This window comes from Homo sapiens, chromosome 7, assembly GCF_000001405.40.
Source record: "Homo sapiens chromosome 7, GRCh38.p14 Primary Assembly".
Classification (NCBI taxonomy): Eukaryota; Metazoa; Chordata; class Mammalia; order Primates; family Hominidae; genus Homo; species Homo sapiens.
The window spans coordinates 78,340,316-78,360,846 of NC_000007.14; the positions used below are offsets into that span (position 1 = coordinate 78,340,316).

At 38.4% G+C, this 20,531-nt stretch overlaps 1 protein-coding gene and 1 pseudogene across 16 annotated transcripts in view; one reads left to right on the top strand and one right to left on the bottom strand.

Annotated features, from left to right (window-relative positions):
• MAGI2 (membrane associated guanylate kinase, WW and PDZ domain containing 2) overlaps window positions 1–20,531 on the bottom strand; it is a 1,436,613-nt gene that overhangs the window by 323,261 nt on the left and 1,092,821 nt on the right. For 7 of the 15 annotated variants that reach the window (XM_017012842.3, XM_047421092.1, XM_017012843.3 and 4 more), the window contains 3 exons: window positions 5,607–5,728; window positions 5,129–5,257; window positions 3,463–3,645 (listed from right to left, as the gene is read on the bottom strand). In XM_017012842.3, the coding sequence (XP_016868331.1) occupies window positions 3,463–3,645; window positions 5,129–5,257; window positions 5,607–5,728 (434 nt within the window). The remainder of the gene's footprint in view (window positions 1–3,462; window positions 3,646–5,128; window positions 5,258–5,606; window positions 5,729–20,531) is intronic. The other 8 variants (XM_047421093.1, XM_017012845.3, NM_001301128.2 and 5 more) reach the window with 2 other exon arrangements.
• Window positions 6,927–19,143, top strand: RPL13AP17 (ribosomal protein L13a pseudogene 17; annotated as a pseudogene). The gene is made up of 6 exons (NR_003680.1): window positions 6,927–7,011; window positions 8,062–8,110; window positions 9,812–9,966; window positions 11,439–11,642; window positions 12,540–12,658; window positions 17,961–19,143. The product of NR_003680.1 is annotated as a ribosomal protein L13a pseudogene 17 (transcript).

The following is a 20,531-nucleotide window of genomic DNA, read 5'->3' on the forward strand; positions in this document are numbered from 1 at the left end:
AGCCTACCAACCAAAAAATGTCCAGGACCAGACAGATTCACAGCTGAATTCTATCAGAGATACAAAGAGGAGATGGTACCATTCCTTCTGAAACTATTCCAAACAATAGAAAATGAGGGAATCCTCCCTAACTCATTTTATGATGCCAGCATCATCCTGATACCAAAACCTGGCAGAGATACAACAAAAAAAGAAAATTTCAGGCCAATATCCTTGATGAACATCGATGCAAAAATCCTCAATAAAATACTGGCAAACTGAATCCAGCAGCACATCAAAAAGCTTTTCCATCACAATCAAGTCAGCTTCATTCCTGGGATGCAAGGCTGGTTCAACATATGCAAATCAATAAACGTAATCCATCACATAAGCAGAATCAATGACAAAAACCACATGATTATCTCAAAAGATGCAGAAAAGGCCTTCGAGAAAATTCAACACCCCTTCATACTAAAACCTCTCCATAAACTAGGTATTGATGGAACATATCTCAAAATAATAAGAGCTATTTATGACAAACCCACAGCCAATATCATACTGAATGGGAAAAAATGGGAAGCATTCCTTTTGAAAACTGGCACAAGACAAGGATACCCTCTCTCACCACTCCTATTCAACATAGTATTGGAAGTTCTGGCTGGGGCAATCAGGCAAAAGAAAGAAATAAAGCGCATTCAAATAGAAAAAGAGGAAGTCAAATAGTCTCTTTTTGCAGATTACATGATTGTATATTTAGAAAACCCCATCGTCTCAGCCCAAAAACTCCTTATGCTGATAATAAGCAACTTCAGCAAAGTCTCAGGATACAAAAATCAATGTGCAAAAATCACTAGCATTCCTATACACCAATAATAGACAAACAGAAGGCCAAATCATAAGTGAACTCCCATTCAAAACTGCTACAAAGAGAATAAAATACTAGGAATACAACTTACGAGGGATGTGAAGGACCTCTTCAGGGAGAACTATAAACCACAGCTCAAGGGAATAAGAGAGGACACAAACAAATGGAAAACATTCCATACTCATGGATAAGAGGAATCAATATCATGAAAATGGCCATACTGCCCAAATAATTTATAGATTTAATGCTATCCCCATCAAGCTACCGTTGGCTTTCTTCACAGAACTGGAAAAAACCACCATAAACTTTATATGGAACCAAAAAAGAGCCCACATTGCTAAGACAATCCTAAGCAAAAAGAATAAAGCTGGAGGCATCACACTACATGCCTTCCAACTATACTATAAGGCTACAGTAACCAAAATAGCATCGTACTGGTACCAAAACAGATACACAGGCCAATGGAACAGAACAGAGGCCTCAGAAATAAACACCATACATCTACAAACATCTGATCTTTGACAAACCTGAAGAAAACAAGCAATGGGGAAAGAATTCCCTATTTAATAAATGGTGTTGGGAAAACTGGCTAGCCATACGCAGAAAACTGAAACTGGACCCCTTCCTTACACCTTATATAAAAATTAACTCAAGATGGATTAAAGACTTAAATGTAAGACCTAAAACCATAAAAACTCTAGAAGAAAACCCAGGCAATACCATTCAGGACATAGGCATGGGCAAAGACTTCATGACTAAAACACCAAAAGCAATGGCAACAAAAGCCCAAATTGACAAATGGGATCTAATTAAACTAAAGAGCTTCTGCACTGCAAAAGAAACTATCATCAAAGTGAACAGGCAACCTACAGAATGGGAGAAAGTTTTTGCAATCTACCCATCTGACAAAGGGCTAATATCCAGAATCTACAAAGAACTTAAACAAATTTACAAGAAAAAAAAAACCCTATGAAAAAGTGGGCAAAGGATATGAACAGACACTTCTCAAAAGAAGACATTTGTGCAGTCAACAAACATAAAAAAAGGCTCATCATCACTGGCCATCAGAGAAATGCAAATCAAAACCACAATGAGATACCATCTCATGCCAGTTAGAATGGTGATCATTAAAAAGTCAGGAAACAACAGATGCTGGAGGGGATGTGGAGAAACACGAACAAACGCTTTTACACTGTTGGTGGGAGTGTAAATTGGTTCAACCATTGTGGAAGACAGTGTGGCAATTCCTCAAGGATCTAGAACCAGAATTACCATTTGACCTAGCAATCCCATTACTATATATATACCCAAAGGATTATAAATCATTCTACTATAAAGACACATGCACACGTATGTTTACTGTGGCACTATTCACAATAGCAAAGACTTGGAACCAACCTAAATGCTCATCAATGATAGACTGGATAAAGAAAATGTGGCACATATACACCATGGAATACTATGCAGCCATAAAAAGGGATGTGTTCCTGTCCTTTGCAGAGACTTCGATGAAGCTGGAAATCATCATTCTTAGCAAACTAACACAAAAACAGAAAACCAAACACCACATGTTCTTACTCATAAGTGGGAGTTGAACAATGAGAACACATGGACACAGGGAGGAGAACATCACACACTGGGGCCTGTTGGTAGATGGGGGGATAGGGGAGGGATAGCATTTGGAGAAATACCTAATGTAGATGACAGTTTGATGGGTCCAGCAAACCACCATGGCACGTGTATACCTATGTAACAAACCTGCTCGTTCTGCACATGTACCCCAGAACTTAAAGCATAATTTAAAAAAATTACACTATACAAATCTTGAATCAGCACTTAAAAGACATAAGGTCATATTTAATTTCTTCATTGTTTTCTAGATAAGGAAATTCATATTTACAAGTTATGGGACTTATCCAAGATCATGGGCCAGGCAAGAAAATTTAAAATCAGACTGTGAAGCCAAACCTTGTTCATTACTTTTTCATTTACTCTGTGTAATTTTTGTATTTTATATGTTTCTGTCCTTAGCAATTTGCCTCTGTATTTCCACAAGAAATAAATTTCAGTTGTAATTTGAGTAGACATCTGAGTAATTATATATGAAAAATAATTTTTAAGGGCTAGAAAAGACTCATATATTAAAACATAATATAGGGACATATACAGACCTAGTCCAGTTTAAAGTTTTCCGTATGAGATGGGCATGTATATTTCAATAACTAACCTGGGTGATATAGCATGAGAATATTATAAGATTAACACAGATTTTAAAATATTGTGGCTGAATATAAGTTAGAAAAGTGTGAAATGTTAATCACACCCCTAAGAACAAACTCTAGAGATAAATTAGAAAAGTGTCAATCTCAAGAGTCCATTGAATCCAGCAAACAGAAGGGGTAGTTTAAAAAAGAAGGCAAAAATTATATTCAAAATTGTTTCCAAATTAATTCAACTTGATATTTTTAAACTTAGGGGAAACATAATTTATGCTTCATGCTTTTCCTAAAGTGAAGTGACCTTTGTCTTTTGAATAAAAACACAAAAGAAGCTCCTTATATTTGCCTTCAGAAAAAAAGATGTTGCAAAACAATTTTCTAAACCATGAAGGACCTTACCTGTTTCCATTTTTCCATCCTGTGCTGCAGGCCCATCCGGAATCACACTTTTCACCTGCAGAAACTCATCAGGCTCGTCTCCACCAATGATGGTAAATCCAAAGCCCATGTTGCTCTTTTTTAGGGTGGTGCTGAGGAATGTTCCCTTCAACTGGGATGCATCCCGGGTGAAGAGTGGTTTTTCTACATTGGCCAATATAAGTTAAAAAAGAAAAAGGCATGTTCAAGTCAAGTTCTCAGACAAGAGAAAGCCAGCCCCTGAGCAGCGACAATCCCAGGGGTAAATGTGGGGGGTCTTATACAGCAAATGCAAGCAGGTGGTGACTGCAAGAGGAGCAAAACTATTAGAACTTCCTACACACGAAGAGCAGTCCCAAGCATCCAGGGAAAGATGAAAAAGCTGTTTGGTTTGGAGACAGACTTTTTGTCAAATCAGTTTCCACTCATTAAGTTAGCCTTCTTGTGCTTAAAAAAGGCTGTGTCAACAGGCTGCCAGAGCCTTCTAAGAAAGAGGACAAGGAGCCCAAATCATCCAGACAACATCTGGATCTGTTCCTGTTGTTATTGTGAAAGATTCCAGGTAGGAGGTATGTGTCAGTGGCCGATCCTAAACTAAGCCTTGAAGAAATAAGGGTAGAGAAATGAAATGGACATGGACTTGTGATTTTTTTTTTAAGTGAATAAGAGCACAATATTTCAGCATGTGCAATATCACAAACAGAGAAACAGTGGAATGTGATCACATACTCAAAGGTCCAGATTGCTTAGAAAGAGTACCTGTATGTGGAACTGACTTTTGTTTACACTGCTCTATTGTGAGATACTATAAAGATAACCAGATAAATAAATTGCTATTGGCTCCGATAGTGTTTAGTATACTCTAAAATGTGAGCAAAAGGCAAGCCAATGTTTTTAGATATAATTATGAATGTAAAGGTAACACATTTTGTCACAATATGTTGATAGATTCAAATCATATGCCCGAATAATCTGAATAGGCACTGCATAGATTTACCTGCTAATTTGTTATATAATATGATTTTCCAGCTATGATCTGTAATAAATATATTCCTAAGTATAGTAAGTGTTTTAAAAAATAATAGTCATACTAGGAAACAATTAATATCTGCTTTAAATTCCATCACAGATAAATATTTTATATGATTCTTTTAAAATGTGTTATATTTAGGTGGTCTGACTTAATATTTTTAACAGCCAAATTGTATATGGTAACTCAGTTAAGTATTCTGCATGATATCTTTGTTGTTACATTTTGGGTGACAAGTAATAAACTCTAAAATAATGAGTCATTCTATTAGACTTCTGCTTTTACTGTCCGCTTACATATCACATGTATCTTTATTAAAAACAGAGGTTCTTTAAAACATAAATAAAAACCACATATAATCCTTTCTCCTATGTTTTCTTTATCAAATTAATGTTTATAGTTGGAGATAAGTTCACCAGGAGACCTTTACATTCATTTAATTATGCTGCAGTATATGGCGTGAAAACTACCAGCAGGCAAGCCTAGGCCTCCCGACTCTAAAGGCTGTTTTGTGCTTTTATTTAGAAGCTCACTAGCTGTGAAAAGTTTGTGCAGCAACTCATCCCACTACGTGGCTCCCAGGTGTAGTCAGGTCCCGCAAGCAGCCCTGGGACATACCGAACAGCCAGGGCCTCCCTGCTGGGTCGCGCTGATAGTAAGACAAGTCATTCACGCTGCGCGACCTCTCCGGGGCAGCACGGGGGCGGATGGATTTGGGCCTAGGTAATGTCCATGAGGAGCTGTCTACTGTCACAAAGGAGAACAAGCCTCATTCTTGTGCTTGGTCTTTTAAGGACAAACTTATGAGTCTCTATGAATCTCTCAGTTTACAGTGCCACTATAAAAATCCATTAATCTCCACGTGGTGACATGCTGTACATTCCTATAAAGTACTGCCTGTGGCTATAACTTCATCTGCGGTTGCTAAAGGCATTAGTTTAGAGAGAATGCAAACATCCAGCTAAAGCTAATAGGAAGGTCTGGAGAAAGCAAATCAATTTTTCAAAATGGTCCAAGCTACAGACATATTTGGAAGAGCAGGCAGTTTGACAGACAATTTTCCCTTTGAAACATCACATGCTGACAGGTATCATACCTCGGAAACCTGGGGCCTGCAGGGGCTTTGTTCCAAGTTCTGTGTGGGGCATGTTATGTTGCTGTAGCTTCCTTTTTGCTTCCAGGACAGGATTTTCAAACTGTGTTCTTCTATTTATGTGGCTAAAAAAGAAAATTTCAGATTAGGATAACCGTGGGGCAAAGTTATTTAAAAGACCATATGTATGGCTCTATGGAGAGCAGGTGATTAAGGGCCACCTTATCTGATTACAGTCAAGTGCCTCACCCAGCACGCGGTCAGGCTCCTGACTGGGCTGGCCTGTGTACAACACACATTTCTGTGACAAGTGCTGAGTTTTCAAAGGCTCTCTCATATGTTATTCTATTTACATTATGCATAATTCAGCCAAAAGAACTAGAATGTGCACTTGCTTTCTGGTCTACTGTGTTCATTTGAGATGAGTTTAATATGCATGAAACTAAGTGGTCAAGAAATGAAATTTATACTGAATGGTATTGAAGAAAAGAGCATCACCTGAGCTTTGCAAAGTCCCCATATCCAACAGGATAAATGTGAGGTAAATTCATTGATAGAGTATAGCAACCAGAGTCTGCACTTTTTAGAGTTGGTCCTGGATTGAGAGACTGGGATCCAGGAGAAAGAGTTTGCAGAAGTTACAGAATACATATGTAGGACAGTTGATGCTGAAATCAAGCAAAAGTAGAGAATTCATATTCTACATGGTGAGAGGGCAAATTTGTAGGTATCAGACGCAGAGTGGCTTGAAGCAACTGTTGCCCAGCTAAACTGAGAGCTTATAGTCCAAGCAAACTGTGAATTTCTGTATAGCAGGCTGTTTGAAATGCAGAGTTCCTTATCTGTGGGGAGAGTAGAAACCAACAAATCTGCTTTTAGTGGTGGGCCTATGCTGCTCTTTCTCTAGGATATAAACATCCCATGAGAGGGCTGGCATATACATTGATACATAGAATTATGGCAGGCAAGCATGAAGAGGAGAGAAGGAATGGAAGAGAAACTGACAAATACTGAGTACTTAACTCTTGGCCAGTTACTATGTATAGTTTTCCTCAGTGAAGTTTCATAACAACCCAGACTTGCATTCCAATTATTCACCTTTTAAAGGCAATGAGACTGACACATGGAGAGATCGGATTATTTGCTCTAAATCACATGTCTCGTAAGTGGAAAGGCTGGACTTGGCCGGGTTTATTTCTAAACTGAATCTCTGCACACTTTTTTCTTTTGGATATACAATTTCACATTGGCATGTGCACACACACTTATTGTGTGTATACACCCTGCACGTCCCCAACATAAACCACTTACAGCTTCAGAAAGGAAAGGAGACAGAAGCAGCAACATCTCAACAACCAATTTCCAATACTATGAATCAGATCATTTCAAAGCAGTTCCCAGAAACATGGTAAGTCAACCGTAAGATCTAATTCTTTCCTCACGGGAGACAGGGTAAGGTAGCTGCCTGCCCCACAGGCTCTGCAGTTAATCAGTCCTGTATTCAAATTCCAGCTCTACCACTTGACTAGCTATGTGACCTTGGTTGAGTTATTGAAACTGAGTCTTAGTGTCTTAATCTGTAATAGCAGCGTAATGCCTCCTTCTTGGGGTGGTTGTGAGGATTAAGTGAAATAATGAATATTAGCACATGGTTTTGAGTACAGACATACTCAATAATTAGCAGCAGCTTGTATCATCATCTTAATCACCACCATTACTGTCATCATTTTTCATCCATAAGAAAGGCTTTACTGGGGAACTTCAGAAGCACTGGGACCTTGCTCTAACTGCCTTTGGTGCTGTTTAGGAAGGGAGTGCTTCTAACAGTGCTCTTTGTTAATGAAACTCATTTGTAAGAGGTTCAAAGTACAACCATCTATGTAAAATTATTTTCCCACTGGAAATAAAACGTTATTGTAATGCTCTTGTTCACCAAGGCCTTGTGCATCATGACTGTGGTGCACAGTGAACTAATAATATCTGTGCCTGTAAAGCATGTGAGCTGTAAACTCTAACACTGCCACCCTGTTTTGGAAGGACCAGAGTTTGATGCCTGTTTTCCCGTTTCTCCATTGTTACATAACTTCCTTACCAAAATCCTTTGAAACCTTCCTATTACTTAAACATATACTGTTCCTGATTTTGCCCTCACTCATTTCTGTAGCTTCACCTTTGGCTGCATCACCACATGTGCCCTCTACGTTGAACATACTTGGAGCTACTTTGATCAGTGACCCTCTATCAGACCTCTTATCTTTCCACGAGAGATTCAGTATGTAAATGGTGCAGCACTTGAAGCAAGACAACCTGGGTTTCAGGTGGCATCTTGGGCAAATTTCTAACTCTCTAAGCTTCAATATCTTTATCTGTAAAATGGGGACATTAATAGCTACATCACGGGTTGCTGTGAGGATAAGAGAATTGTTTACAATGTTTACAATGTTTGTATCTCCCTTAGATACCCAGGGAGAACCCAACAATGAAGTTATGGTTGTTATTTTTTTGAGGTACAGTTATTTCTTATTACTATTATTGAAGTGTTGCAGTGGTTATTGCCATTATTCTAAGGATGTTTTTCCTATCTCTCCTGTGTCTCCTTCCCTCACTCCTCCCAGCCACATTCCCTGCCTGTGTGATATTCTTCCACCTTGGGTTCTCAGAAAACTTTGAACAGACTTCTCTCATTGCAGTTTATTCACTTAAAAAAAATCCATCCACTGAAGCATTTATCCTTTAAGTAACAAATAATCCAATTACATTCTTTAAGTTATTTAAAAATATACAATTAAGTTATTATTCACTATAGTCAGTATTCACTTATTTTCTTATACTCCACTTCATCATTAAGAAGATTTGAGGACAACAACAACAAAAGTAAACAAAATTAGGTTGAAGTTAGTTGAATCAAGGTGGGAGATCAATAGAATTGATAAGATAGGTTCCTATTTATTTACTAGAGTTTTGTTGCAAATTAGCTTTCAGCTTTTAAGCTGCTAATTCAACAGGAGAGAGAAACCAATTATACTATTAAGAGTATTTAAGATGCACCGAAGCCAGTTGTTTAGAAGGACATAGTATTCCTAAGTCTTATTGACATTCCTTTCCAAATTTTGAATAAAGAGATTTCTGTGACGTAGTATACAGCATCCTAAATGATAATTTTACAATAATGAATTTCACAGGCTATACTAACTTTATTAAAATGTGTTTTAATGATTAATTTTCATGCTGATTTCCTTCCCTAGATTGTGTACTTCTATATACAGGATACATGTGTTATTTATCTTTCTGTATTGAGCATCTAATACAGTGAATGGAAAATAGCTTTTCTTGTTAAATGACTAAATGATGAGTGTGTGTTTTAAAACATTTATTTTCAAACATATGTCAATAACTTTAAGAAACCAAGAAACAGCTTTGAAATGTACTAGGATATCAACTTTTCTTGTTTCCTATCTGTTCTATATCCGTTTTGCTAGGTCATTGTTCGTCATATGCATAACTTTATCCTTAGAAAATACATTACAAAAACTTTCTGGGATGCAGTTATGCATACAACCCAGTTCCTCCAACTTTCCACCTGCATGTAATTATTTTCTTAGAAAAGTTAATGTGCAGCCACCTGCTTTATGGTCACTATGTTGAAAATATTCCATTTACCATCAAAATGAGTTTCTAGAGTTCACAGAGAATGAGAATACCAATGAGCTAGTTTGGCATGCCTTGGACCCCACAGACAGCAAAAGCAGGATATGGCTATAGCACCATAAGCTAATTGCTACAGAACATTTCCATTGTCACAAATGAAGTCATTCATTTGAAACTTAAAATGCTCACAAGCTCTAAAAGACTTATCACAAAGAAATGTGATTGTAGCTGAATAGAAACTTGTCTTCCTTATGCTTCCAAAATGAATAGTTTCAAGTTCTTTCAGCAAGGATTTGGGGGTCTTACAATGTGTACAAAAAGATGTGAATGACAAATGCCATCCTTCTCATTGTTTAGGCTCTGTGAGGTAAGTACTAGCTATTTCATCTAGCTTCCATACAGAACAAGAAGCTGGGAAGCTACCAAGAGTTCTTGCTATTTAATTATATCTAGTCTATTGTCATATTTTGCTAAGAGAATCTTGAGCTATTAAAAGCTAAAAGCGTAAGAGTCATATTCTGAAGTGCGTATATCTTAAAGATTCCGTTTTCTCTTTACAGAAGGGAAAGACTACTGATGAGAGATGCTTCCAAATTAAAAGTGGCAAAGGACTCAGGATATTTAAGGATGAGATTCCATTGCCTGATCTCTTTGTCTTTACATTCACTTATCTGCAGTCTGACTCTCTCCTCTCACCATGGAATGGAAACTTAGAGTAAGTTCGTATGTGGCAGTGCTTTGAAATTCCAGATGCACCAGAGAGCTTCAAAAACAAACAGAAAACAGAAGACTCAGGGCTACCCTAAATCAACTGATTCATAATTTCAGAATGAGATCCACAGGCATTGGCATTTTTTAGATGAAAGAAAGCTTCCCAGGTGTCTCTAGTGTGCAGCTACGGCTGTGATCCCCTGAGTTAGAAGCTGAGAATGTGTGAAGAGGTGTTGCATAAGGAGTATCTTGCCTGATAAGATTTATGCAGAAGCCTCTTTTTCTATATGTGGCCTCAGGGAGGATTAGGAAATGCAACTTTGCTCCTGAAGAGGACTTCTGCCCTCAGAAGTTTCAGACAAGCACTGAGGGAAGGAAATATTTGCAGCTGATTAGAGGCCATGCTGCCAAAGGTGGTCCCTGGTCCAGGTCCTGTTTGCCTGCCATTTTCTTCATTGTGGAGAGGAAAGGGAGGAATTAGGAGGAAAGTCTTAAATACTGAGCCCATCAGTATGCACAGGACAGGTAGGCTGAAGGTTATCAAAGCCATTCCCCGACCCTCACCATCAATGCTCCCTGTATATCTATATCTCAGCCTGTTCACAACCCACCTTGCTTCTCCTGGGGTTTTTGGAGACAGGCTCTTTTAGTGCATAGTCGTGGATGACACCTTTGCACCTGCAGGTTACTATCCTGCTATCTTGACTTCAGTTAACATTTAGAAATAATCAATGTGGAAGAGAGAAGGGAGCAGCTTTTAAGTGGAGACTGTGTCACAGATAAAATGTTTCCAAGGTATCCAAGGTGTCTGTGCTAATTATCCAAGACATGAGGTACATAGTGCTCAAATATTTACTGAATAAATACATGAATGGAGCAAGGCCAGCAGGAAAGAGGATATATCTCACTGTTTTCCAGCTTCACTCTCCTGTAAAATACGCATTGTGGGCAGGGAATGGTGACCCATTTCTGTAACCCCAGCACTTTGGGAGGCTTAGGTGGGCAGATTGCCTGAGCATAGGAGTTTGAGACTAGCCTGGGCAACACGGCAAAATCCCGTCTCTACTAAAAGTATAAAAATTAGCCAGGCATGGTGGCACAAGTGTCTGTAGTCTCAGCTTGGGTTACAACAGAAAAGTGTGAATAAGGAAAAGCACTATATTAGGGATGAAATGTGGGAGCATTAGACAAGCAGCAACTCAGCATTGAGAGAGGGAGTGAGAGGACTGGCTTGGGGCTTGGCGTTGTGGCTCAGGATGACCACAATGCAAACTGGCTTCTTTTGGGCTTCCTGAATGAACCTAGTGTGGATTTCATCATTGCTTGGAATCCCTAGGCTTTCTCTAACCCCAATTCCAATTCCCCATCTCTGCACTGTTACCAACTCCCATCTGAACCCCTAGACTACAGCTGAACTAGCAGGCAAACACAGACATTGCACCCTCCCTGACTATATTTTATTCATTTTAATATGAGCCTTGGGAAGACTTCATAATTTTTTCTCTACTGTCATGTTTGAATAAATGGAATAAAAACAACTTCATGCTTTGGAAACTGGGAGGAAAATAACCCTAGAAGGATCTTCTGGAGCCAACCCTCTTCAAAGAAGACAGGATAGTATAATTATGAACTCAGTCTCTGTAGTCATGATGCTCACATCCAAGCCCCTGCACATCCTAGGTATGTAACCGTGAGCACATCATTTACCCTTTTTTTGTGCTTCAGAATTTTTCACCTGTAAAGTCAGATAAAAATAATATTCACCTTACAGAGTTGTTGTGCATATTAAATGTCTTAAAATGGGTAAACTACTTAAGAACAGTGCCTGGATGTAAGTACTCAGTCAATGCTAACTATCATCATTCATCGCATATTTATTTCCCAAAGTCTCTTGACTAGACACTATGGTTGATAGGGGAGGGACAAAGATGAATCAGGCACATAGTCTAGCAGGGGAGAGAAAACAGGGACAAAAAAGAATTATGATGCAAAACAAGGTTACATAATGCAATGTGTGCCTTACAGGGCTTTGAAATGCTGAATTTTAGAAGTACTAGATTAAAGCCTAATGTTTTAAATACGTTATTATAAAATATGAGCTTTGAATAAATGGAAAAATGGCATCTATTTTACTTGGAGCATTTTTTAAAAACAGAATAATTGAATCCTGCCTCTTGAAAGATTTCTTCCCAATTCTAACACTTAAGTGATAATTTTCCTTCTATAAACGTCCATTCATTATTTCCTACTGTACCTGGGGAAATGTCAGTTTGCTTTGTGAATGTGAATGGGAAGATTGAGTCATTCACACGTTAATTTCTCCTGCTCTTCCTGGACATGAGGGTGTCTATGTTGGGGATATAGTATCCAGCTGGGAGGTGGAATCATGGCCAACTGAGAAGAATATCCACATATTGGCACTGAAACTCTTACAGCTGAGTCTGTCCTCTACTCCACACTAGGTTGAGCTTCTCAAAATGCAAATTTTCACATAAATGAGATCTCTTCCCTCCCTCGGTCGTAATGCTAGTTATTTAGTTAAGACATTAACCTGTAATGTGTATTTTATATATAAAGGAAGATTCATCACTAAGCCATTACTCTTCACTAATTCCATGGAAAACTTCGAACTAACTCCTAGCAGACATGGCCGTGTGCACCATCAATCATGTCATGAAGCACCCAGGACCTACAAGGTACATAGATTCAACTTCAAAAAATTCAGAGCCACTAGGCATGCATTAAAAAATGTTGTTTTCTATCGATCCCTTTTCACTCCCATAAAGTATCTCTCTAAAATGTTATTGCTGAGTGCAGGAGGAGATCATTGTTATCAAAGGTATTTCTAACCTTTTGCTTCTAGATTGAGTGAAAGTAGTGAATTATAAGTTCATAGAATAGGCTTTAGCTAAAGGAAAACTAAAAGACTACACTATTTCAAGATCTTTCTGTATTAGAGACAAGACTAATAAGTCCTCTTCTACTGGTGTCTGACAATCTGACTAAGTAGTTTAAGTCCTTTACGTCTCATATATAATTCCATTGATTCCTCAGTATTCTGGGCACTAAGGACACAAAAGTGAACATGACAAAATCCTTTCCCTCAGGAGGCTCATGCTCCAGTGGGGGAGACACACAAGTTGGATGACCAACCATTTCAGTTTGCCTGGGACTAAGGAGTTTCCTGGGATGTGGGGCTTTCAGTTTTCAAACAGGGATATCCTGCATAAGTTAAGATGAGTTACTCATTCTAGAAGTGGTCAGGAAAATATAACACAAGGCAAAAACTGCTGAAATTTGTATGCATGACGTAAATACTCAGAGGGAGAAAAGACAACTTAGTCTGATGGCTCAGGGAAAGCTTCACAAAGGAAGAGACATGTAAACAGACTGTAGAAGGATGAAAGTATTTTGCTGGTTGGAGAAGGGGGCATTTTAGGAAGAGAGTAGTAGATATAGAGGTGCTCAATAATATTCAATTCTGCCTACCTAGAGTACAAGGCTAGTGCACACAGACATGCATGTGGTTGTGTATGGGTGGCAATGTGGGAGCAAGAGGCGTAGGGGAGCGGATGGAAGCTACAAGACTGGAAGGACAGTTCTGAGTCATGGTATGGAGTTTTGTTTAGTCTGAAGATCTCCCTACTTCCATTGTGACCTTAGTCTAATGGAACTGCAGCTTTTAAGGTCTCCATCTTGGATGATGTACCTTATTCCTGAACTTGGGAGCATTATAAGATGAGCTTCAACACACATCAACCAAGTAGGAAAGCTGTGGTTCTCCCTAGAATTCCCAAGCATTTCTGCATCATTTCCTGGCTACCTTCAGTGTCCTAGGTATTGTTTTCACCTAGGGTATGAGGTTGAATTAGAGATGTTCCATGCGTATGAAAAAGTCATCCAGGGAAATAGCCATTTCTGTGTACAAGGAAGGGTGAGAATAGTCTGACTTGTAACATACTCTATGTTGAACTGGATTTCTATTTCTTAATAAATTACTTATGAGTTGCTAAAATGTGCAGTCACAATATAACTTAATTGAACTCCAAAAATACACATTCATACATAATGGTAAGCATACACAGCCATGGATACAGGAATCCTTTGGAGCTTGACTCTAAGGAGAGTCAGAGAATTACCAAGGACACTCAGAATACCGGGCAATGGCAAAGGCAACATCACTGATGTCTGGGATTATCCAGGAAGGAGGGAATCAGGAGAAGAATGCTAGTGAGGGGAAATTGACAAGACTGGGGACAAGGCTGTGGCAGATTATGAAAGTCACCAGGCCATGAAAATAACTCCAATTCCATATAATACCCAAATTCCAGGTTTCCAAGACCAACATTCAGAGATGAGAAAAATACTGAAAAAGTATTATTCTTGACTACTGAGTCTTTATGACCACATAGAGCAGGAGGAAATCAAATATATAGCAATTCCTTTTATATGCTAGAATGGGATGCAAGAGGGATTAGAAAACACAAAAAATTAAGAAAAAAATACTTTTGACGAGTTTTAGGGAGAAAAGGATATATTGCTGGATACCTAGAATCTGCACAGAATCTTTAAATACCTTGCCACTAAATGTGACCGCAAGGTCTAGGAGTGAGCAGGAGGCTACAATTCTGTTAGGTAAGGACTCTGGGAAGATAGAAGAGGTATGGAGAAAAAGTAGGAATAGAGGATAAAGGTTCAGCAGCCCCAAGAACAGAGAAAGGTGGCAATAAGTTGCTTCAGTGTTGTTTTTAATAGATTGGTTTATTGGGGATAGGTATTGTGACAGAGTTTTATATAATTAACATACTATGTCTAAAATTATGCCATTACTAGAAGATCAAAGCTTTGGACAAATGAGATGATAGTTTCATGTAACTGTAATGGGGGATGTATTTTCAAATAACTTGTTTGTTCTTTTCCATAATACAGATTTATATCCCCACAGTGGGCTGAGTTTGTGTTTTTCATTCTGAAGCTCTTAATAAAGAACAGGAAAGGTGTGATGTTGGATATTTCTGAAGAAAATTCCATTTGTGCACTTTTAAAGTTAATTCCAATTCAGATTTAAATTCTGTTTAATAGATGCCACAGTTTGCTGAAAGAAACAGTTGCATGAAGAATGAATGTCAGCCTTGTAAAAAAACAAAGGAGAGACTAAAGGGAAGATAGTGGATGGCAGAGTGGGATGGGAACTAATATTCACCGAGCGAATACTATATGCTGACCCTCAGTGAAATAGGTTGCATGCTTTTAATTCACTTGCTCTTCCTAGAGGGTAAAACATTTTCTGCAGATCTTACATTAAGCGGCAGATGCACAAACAAAGCCTAGCTCCGTGTACTGCCAACATCCAAGAACACTGAGTTAGGTGATTCTGCTTCAAATATACACTTAGCTTTTATGGTGAAATTACTTATGTATGTACAGACATGGGCTATGTCTGGTAATCTGCAACACACTTCAGCCAGGTGATTCTCAATTTCTTTTTATCAGTTTTCATTACGAAATTGGAAACTTTAAAAACATTGTGAACTACCTGCTTACTTTCTGAAGACAAAAATGTGAAAATACAGATATATTAAATATATTTTTTAAAGAACTCAGTGATCACGTGCATAGAAACAGTGACTGAACGTGTTTTACCAGAAAATGTGTGTGTGTATGCGTTTTACATATTGGAGAAAGTGAGAAATGAAATGGTAATGAGGGCATGAATGAGGAGTCAGGAGACTGGGCTTTGTGTAACATTGCTTTCAAACCAGAAGGATCTGTTCCAAGGGTTGTCTTTCAGCTTCCCTTAGGGCAAGTCCTAACATCAATTTCTTGAACTCTTTGCCCTTACTGACTCTGGAAGTTGAGGGTGGGTCATGTCTCTGGCAATTATGATAATGATAATAAGGTGATTCTGTGCTAATATTCATGAATAAGATTACAGTTCTATGTGAGGGAGAATGGAGGTAGTCAACAATAACAAAACTATGTATGTCTCGTCTCAAACTTATAAAAGAATGCTGCATGTTGTAGGCCAGGTTCAGTTCTTCTGAGGGCCAGTGATCTAAGAAGAAATGGAGGGAGTTGTTAAAGGATATAGACTTACAGCTAGATAGGAGGAGTAAGTTCTGGTGTTCTACACCACTGTAGTATGACTATAATTTACAATAATATGTAGTCTCAAACAGCTAGACGGAGGATATTGAATGTTCCCAACACAAATAAATTATAAATGAGATGATGGATATGCTAATTACCCTCATCTGATCACTACACTTTATAAGTATCAAAACATCACTATATACTCCATGAATATGTATACTTATTATTTGTCAATTGAAAGATTTTATAAAAGGACATGGAAACATGTTAATTAGCAAGGAATTTTTTATGTAACAGGGTGGAACCTTGAGCGCTGGTGGGAACTCTTCCCAAACACCCACATAAAAGTCACCTGAAAGGGGTACACTTCTCACCCCACCTGTGCTATATTCACCACCAAACCTTGGACACCAACAAAGGCAAGGAGGTGCCACTTGACTCTTGGTATCCTCAATCTCACTGAGATTCACCAAAGTGAAAGCCACTTCCAATGAGTCTGAGTGGTCCTTCTCTTCCATCTTTCAGACCAAACCAGCATTTTGGGTTTAAGCTACAATTGAAGATTTTGTCTACCACTCACTATCTTTGAGAAATTCCCCTAATGTTTCTGAACTGCAACTGCCTCATCTGTAAATATTCTACTCATTTCATAGGACTGTTTTGAGGAGCAAACAAGATAAAATATAGAAAATGTTTAAAGATGAAGCACTGTATAAATTTGATTTTGACATTCTTGGAATATTCAGGGTCTGGGAGTCAAGTGCAACTTAAATATGGACAGTGTGAAGTCTCTTAATTCTTGTCCTGGGCTGCAACAATATTTTTATCACCTACTAGCTTGATGGTCTGGCTTCTTTAAGTTTCATTTTCTCTGTTTGTAAAACAGCAGTAATAGTATCTCCCATTAAGCACTGTGGTGGTGATTAAATGAGTTTTACAAAATGCCTAATACATACCAAGTGCTTAATAATGGTAGCTATTAATATTTTTTTCTCTGGGTTGATTAATAGTTACTAAATAAGACCCCCTTGGAGATAAAATTTACATATGAGGTCAGTGCCCCAAAATAAATTACTAAGCCACACTAGCAAAAAAGAAAGACAATCATTCCTGTCATTTTATTTATCTGAAAATATTATTCACATTATTTTGATGCCCAATTAAAACTGGAGAAAGTGAAGTAAGAATAATAGAATGGAGGGGCCCTGTCAACCTTCATAGCTGAGTGTTGTGCTTAGTGGAAAGTTGAATTAAGATCTTTACATGACAACAAACTCAACAAGTAGTGCTTAATAAGCTTTCAGAGATTTGTTACCTTATGATAAGTTTGAGACTAAATTTATGCAAAACTAATTTTATTAGCACAACAAAGAGCCTTTTTTTTTCTTTTGCCTTTAGTAGATCCAGTTAACCTTCTCAAACACAGAATGGAATTTCTTTTCTTTACAATTGTAGTTTGGCTTAATTGTATTAAACTTAAATGTGAAATTTGATGATAAAAGTTTCTATGATTCACCCATTTTTATTATACAATTAACTCAGTCTATGTAATATAATCTTATCTAATTAAATATGAAATCATCTGATAAACACTAGTAATAAATAATGTTTAATGATGTCATTTTTTATTGTTAAAAAAAAGAAAAACAGGTTTCCTTTCAAATGTGTTCAGCTTTGACAGAAGTTAAAAATATATCTCTGGGCTGGGCGTGATCCTGGGAAGTCGAGGCTGCAGTGAGCAGTGATTGCGCCACTGCACTCCAGCCTGGGCGACAGAGCAAGACTTTGCCTCAAAAAAAAAAAAAAAAAAAAAAAAAAAAAAAAAAATATATATATATATATATATATATATATATATATGGACAGAGAGAACTATCTATATCTAGCTATCTATTTTGCCCCCAGGTGGCTGCTGAAGACAGCAGAAAGACAGAACCTGGTGCTCAGTGGCCAAGGCCATCTTGTGGGCCACCCGGCAGCCATCTTGGCCAAGTGGGTTCTGCTGGGAAGGAAACTGGTGGTTGAGCACCACGAGGGCATCAACATTTCTGGCAATTTCTGGAGAAACAAATTAAAGTATCTGGCCTTCCTCTGCAAGCAGATGAGCACCAACCCTTCCCAAGGCCCACCCGCCCCGCCATTCCTGGGCCCCCAGCGCATCTTTTGGTGGCCTTGCAGAACCAAGTGGGGCCAGGCTGCCCTGGACCACCTTATGGTGTTTTATGGGATCTCACTGCCCTATGACAAGGTGGTTCCTGCTGCCCTTTAGGTTGTACGACTGAAGCCTACAAGAAAGTTTGCCTCCTTGGGGTGCCTGGCTCACGAGGTTGGCTGGAAATACCAGGTAGTGACAGCCACCATGGGGGAGAAGAGGAAGGAGAAGGCCAAGATGCACTACAGGAAGAAAAAGCAGCTCATGCGGCTGCAGAAACAGGCCACAAAGAACGTGGAGAAGACAAATGACAAATACACAGAGGTCCTAAGACCGAGGGACTCCCTGTTTGAGACCAGAAAAGACTGTTTATTCCTCATGCTTGGCCTGGCCTACCCTTCTGCCATTGCGACCTTGGGATATGGGGGAGCCTACCCTTCCTGCATCACCGCCCTGGGATGTGGGGGATCCAAGGGCAGCAATATAGGTGCCATGGGCAGCCTGGGACTTAAGCTGGGGGCAAGGGAAGGGCCTTAGTCACTGCCTTTCTATAAGGTTATTTTAAACAGCTCTAAGATTTGTACAGGAATAATTTGTCTATGACCTACTTGTTCAGGACAGAGTTTTAGAAAACCAATAGAGCAACCAGTTACTTTGGTTTTAATATTGGCAAAAGGGACCTGGAACATTAATTGGAGGGAGCCCCGCCTCGTGAAAGGGGCATCTCTTTTTAACTCCCACCTTCTCGTGCTATACTCTGTGGCTGTTATAATATGAAAAAGTGCTTAGGGACAGCATGATCTTACTGTTATTCAAAGGATATTATAGAGAAGCTTAGACTAGGAAGATGTGTGACCAAGAGGTGGCAGGGGTCGCCCTTGCTCCTTCCCTGTATTTTGTGACCAGAATGAAATAAATTACTTTCAAAGAAAAAAATAGTTCTTATCCACCTTTTTTGTTCATAAACTTATCCTTTATCTTTAGAAATGCCCTTTTAATGTTAATATCAGCCCTCATGTCTTTGGATATCAAGTATATTTATATTTTTTTCCTACAGCTTGGTAAAAAGAATCCATGATAATAATTCGCCCTTCTGAGAGGCCTTCTTTCCATAACACTCACATGATGGGATTGTTAAAATCATTAAAATAAAAGAATGGTAATATATGTTACTGTCCAACCAAACAAAAAGTAGAAATGGAAAGAAAATGCTTTAAAAATTTTAAGTATTCTTTGATCAGCAACTGTAATGAGAAAATGCAGAGGCTTACAGAAAAAAGGCCAAATTTATTCTTGTTAACATAAAGTGGCAGTGAGTTAAAAGAGATCTTAGCAATCACCTAATCCAAACCATTCATTTAACAAATAAAAGCCAGAGAGGTTAAATGTAATTTTGCACTAACCTGTAAATTCAAAATTGTGGATGGAAAAAACATAAGCTATTACTAACATTGTGATTTATGACACACAAAAGGAATTTTGAAAAACATTCCCTGCATATTGATAAAGAGATGAATTATAGTTCTCATGTGGGGATGAGGTAGTAATGTATTTTACCCAGTTAGGGTAAAACATCTTCTGTTTCATTATTCAATTATAGGATGCCCAAAGAATAATATCAGTCTGCATTGGTTTGACTTCCTCAGTTTGACTAAGTTCCTTCATACCTTTAACATTGTCGGCATCTCTTTAGGCTGAATGTGATCACAGTTATGTATCTATTAAAGATCTAGAAGATGCAAATGCCAGCCAACTACTTTAATTCCAGAAAGAATTATTTTCCAACACCAAAGGAAAAAAAAGTGGCAGTGTTGTTTAATATGCCAGTCACCAAGAGGATAGGATCTTGAGGAAATGTTAGGGTAATTTTGACTCAGCCATTTTCACTTTATGTGCTAACTTTAGAACTTAATCTCAGTCTAAGATATGATTCCAAAGTATGTAATGATACAGATTGTTAGCATGAGACAATCTGCAGTTCACGCACAAGAAGCAGAGCATGTTTAATCTCGAGAGAGGAAAACTAATAAGCTATATGAGCTAACTGTTTCACAAATAATAGAATAATCATCATCTACCTGTCATAGAACACTGCCTTGGTGAGTGGCAAACAGGATTGTCCAATGAAAGATGCTAGCAGTGTTTTCTGGGTTGCCTAGCAATGAGCTACCTGGGACAGGGGTCCCCTCTTCCAGCAGGAGGGACAGCACTGCTCACGCAGCTCACATCCAGCTCCAAAAGTTGTCTGCAACTCTCTTAATCAACAATTCCCCAAGTTCAGACTGTCTTCCCCGCCTTCACAAGGCCATTCTCGAGTTCTCATG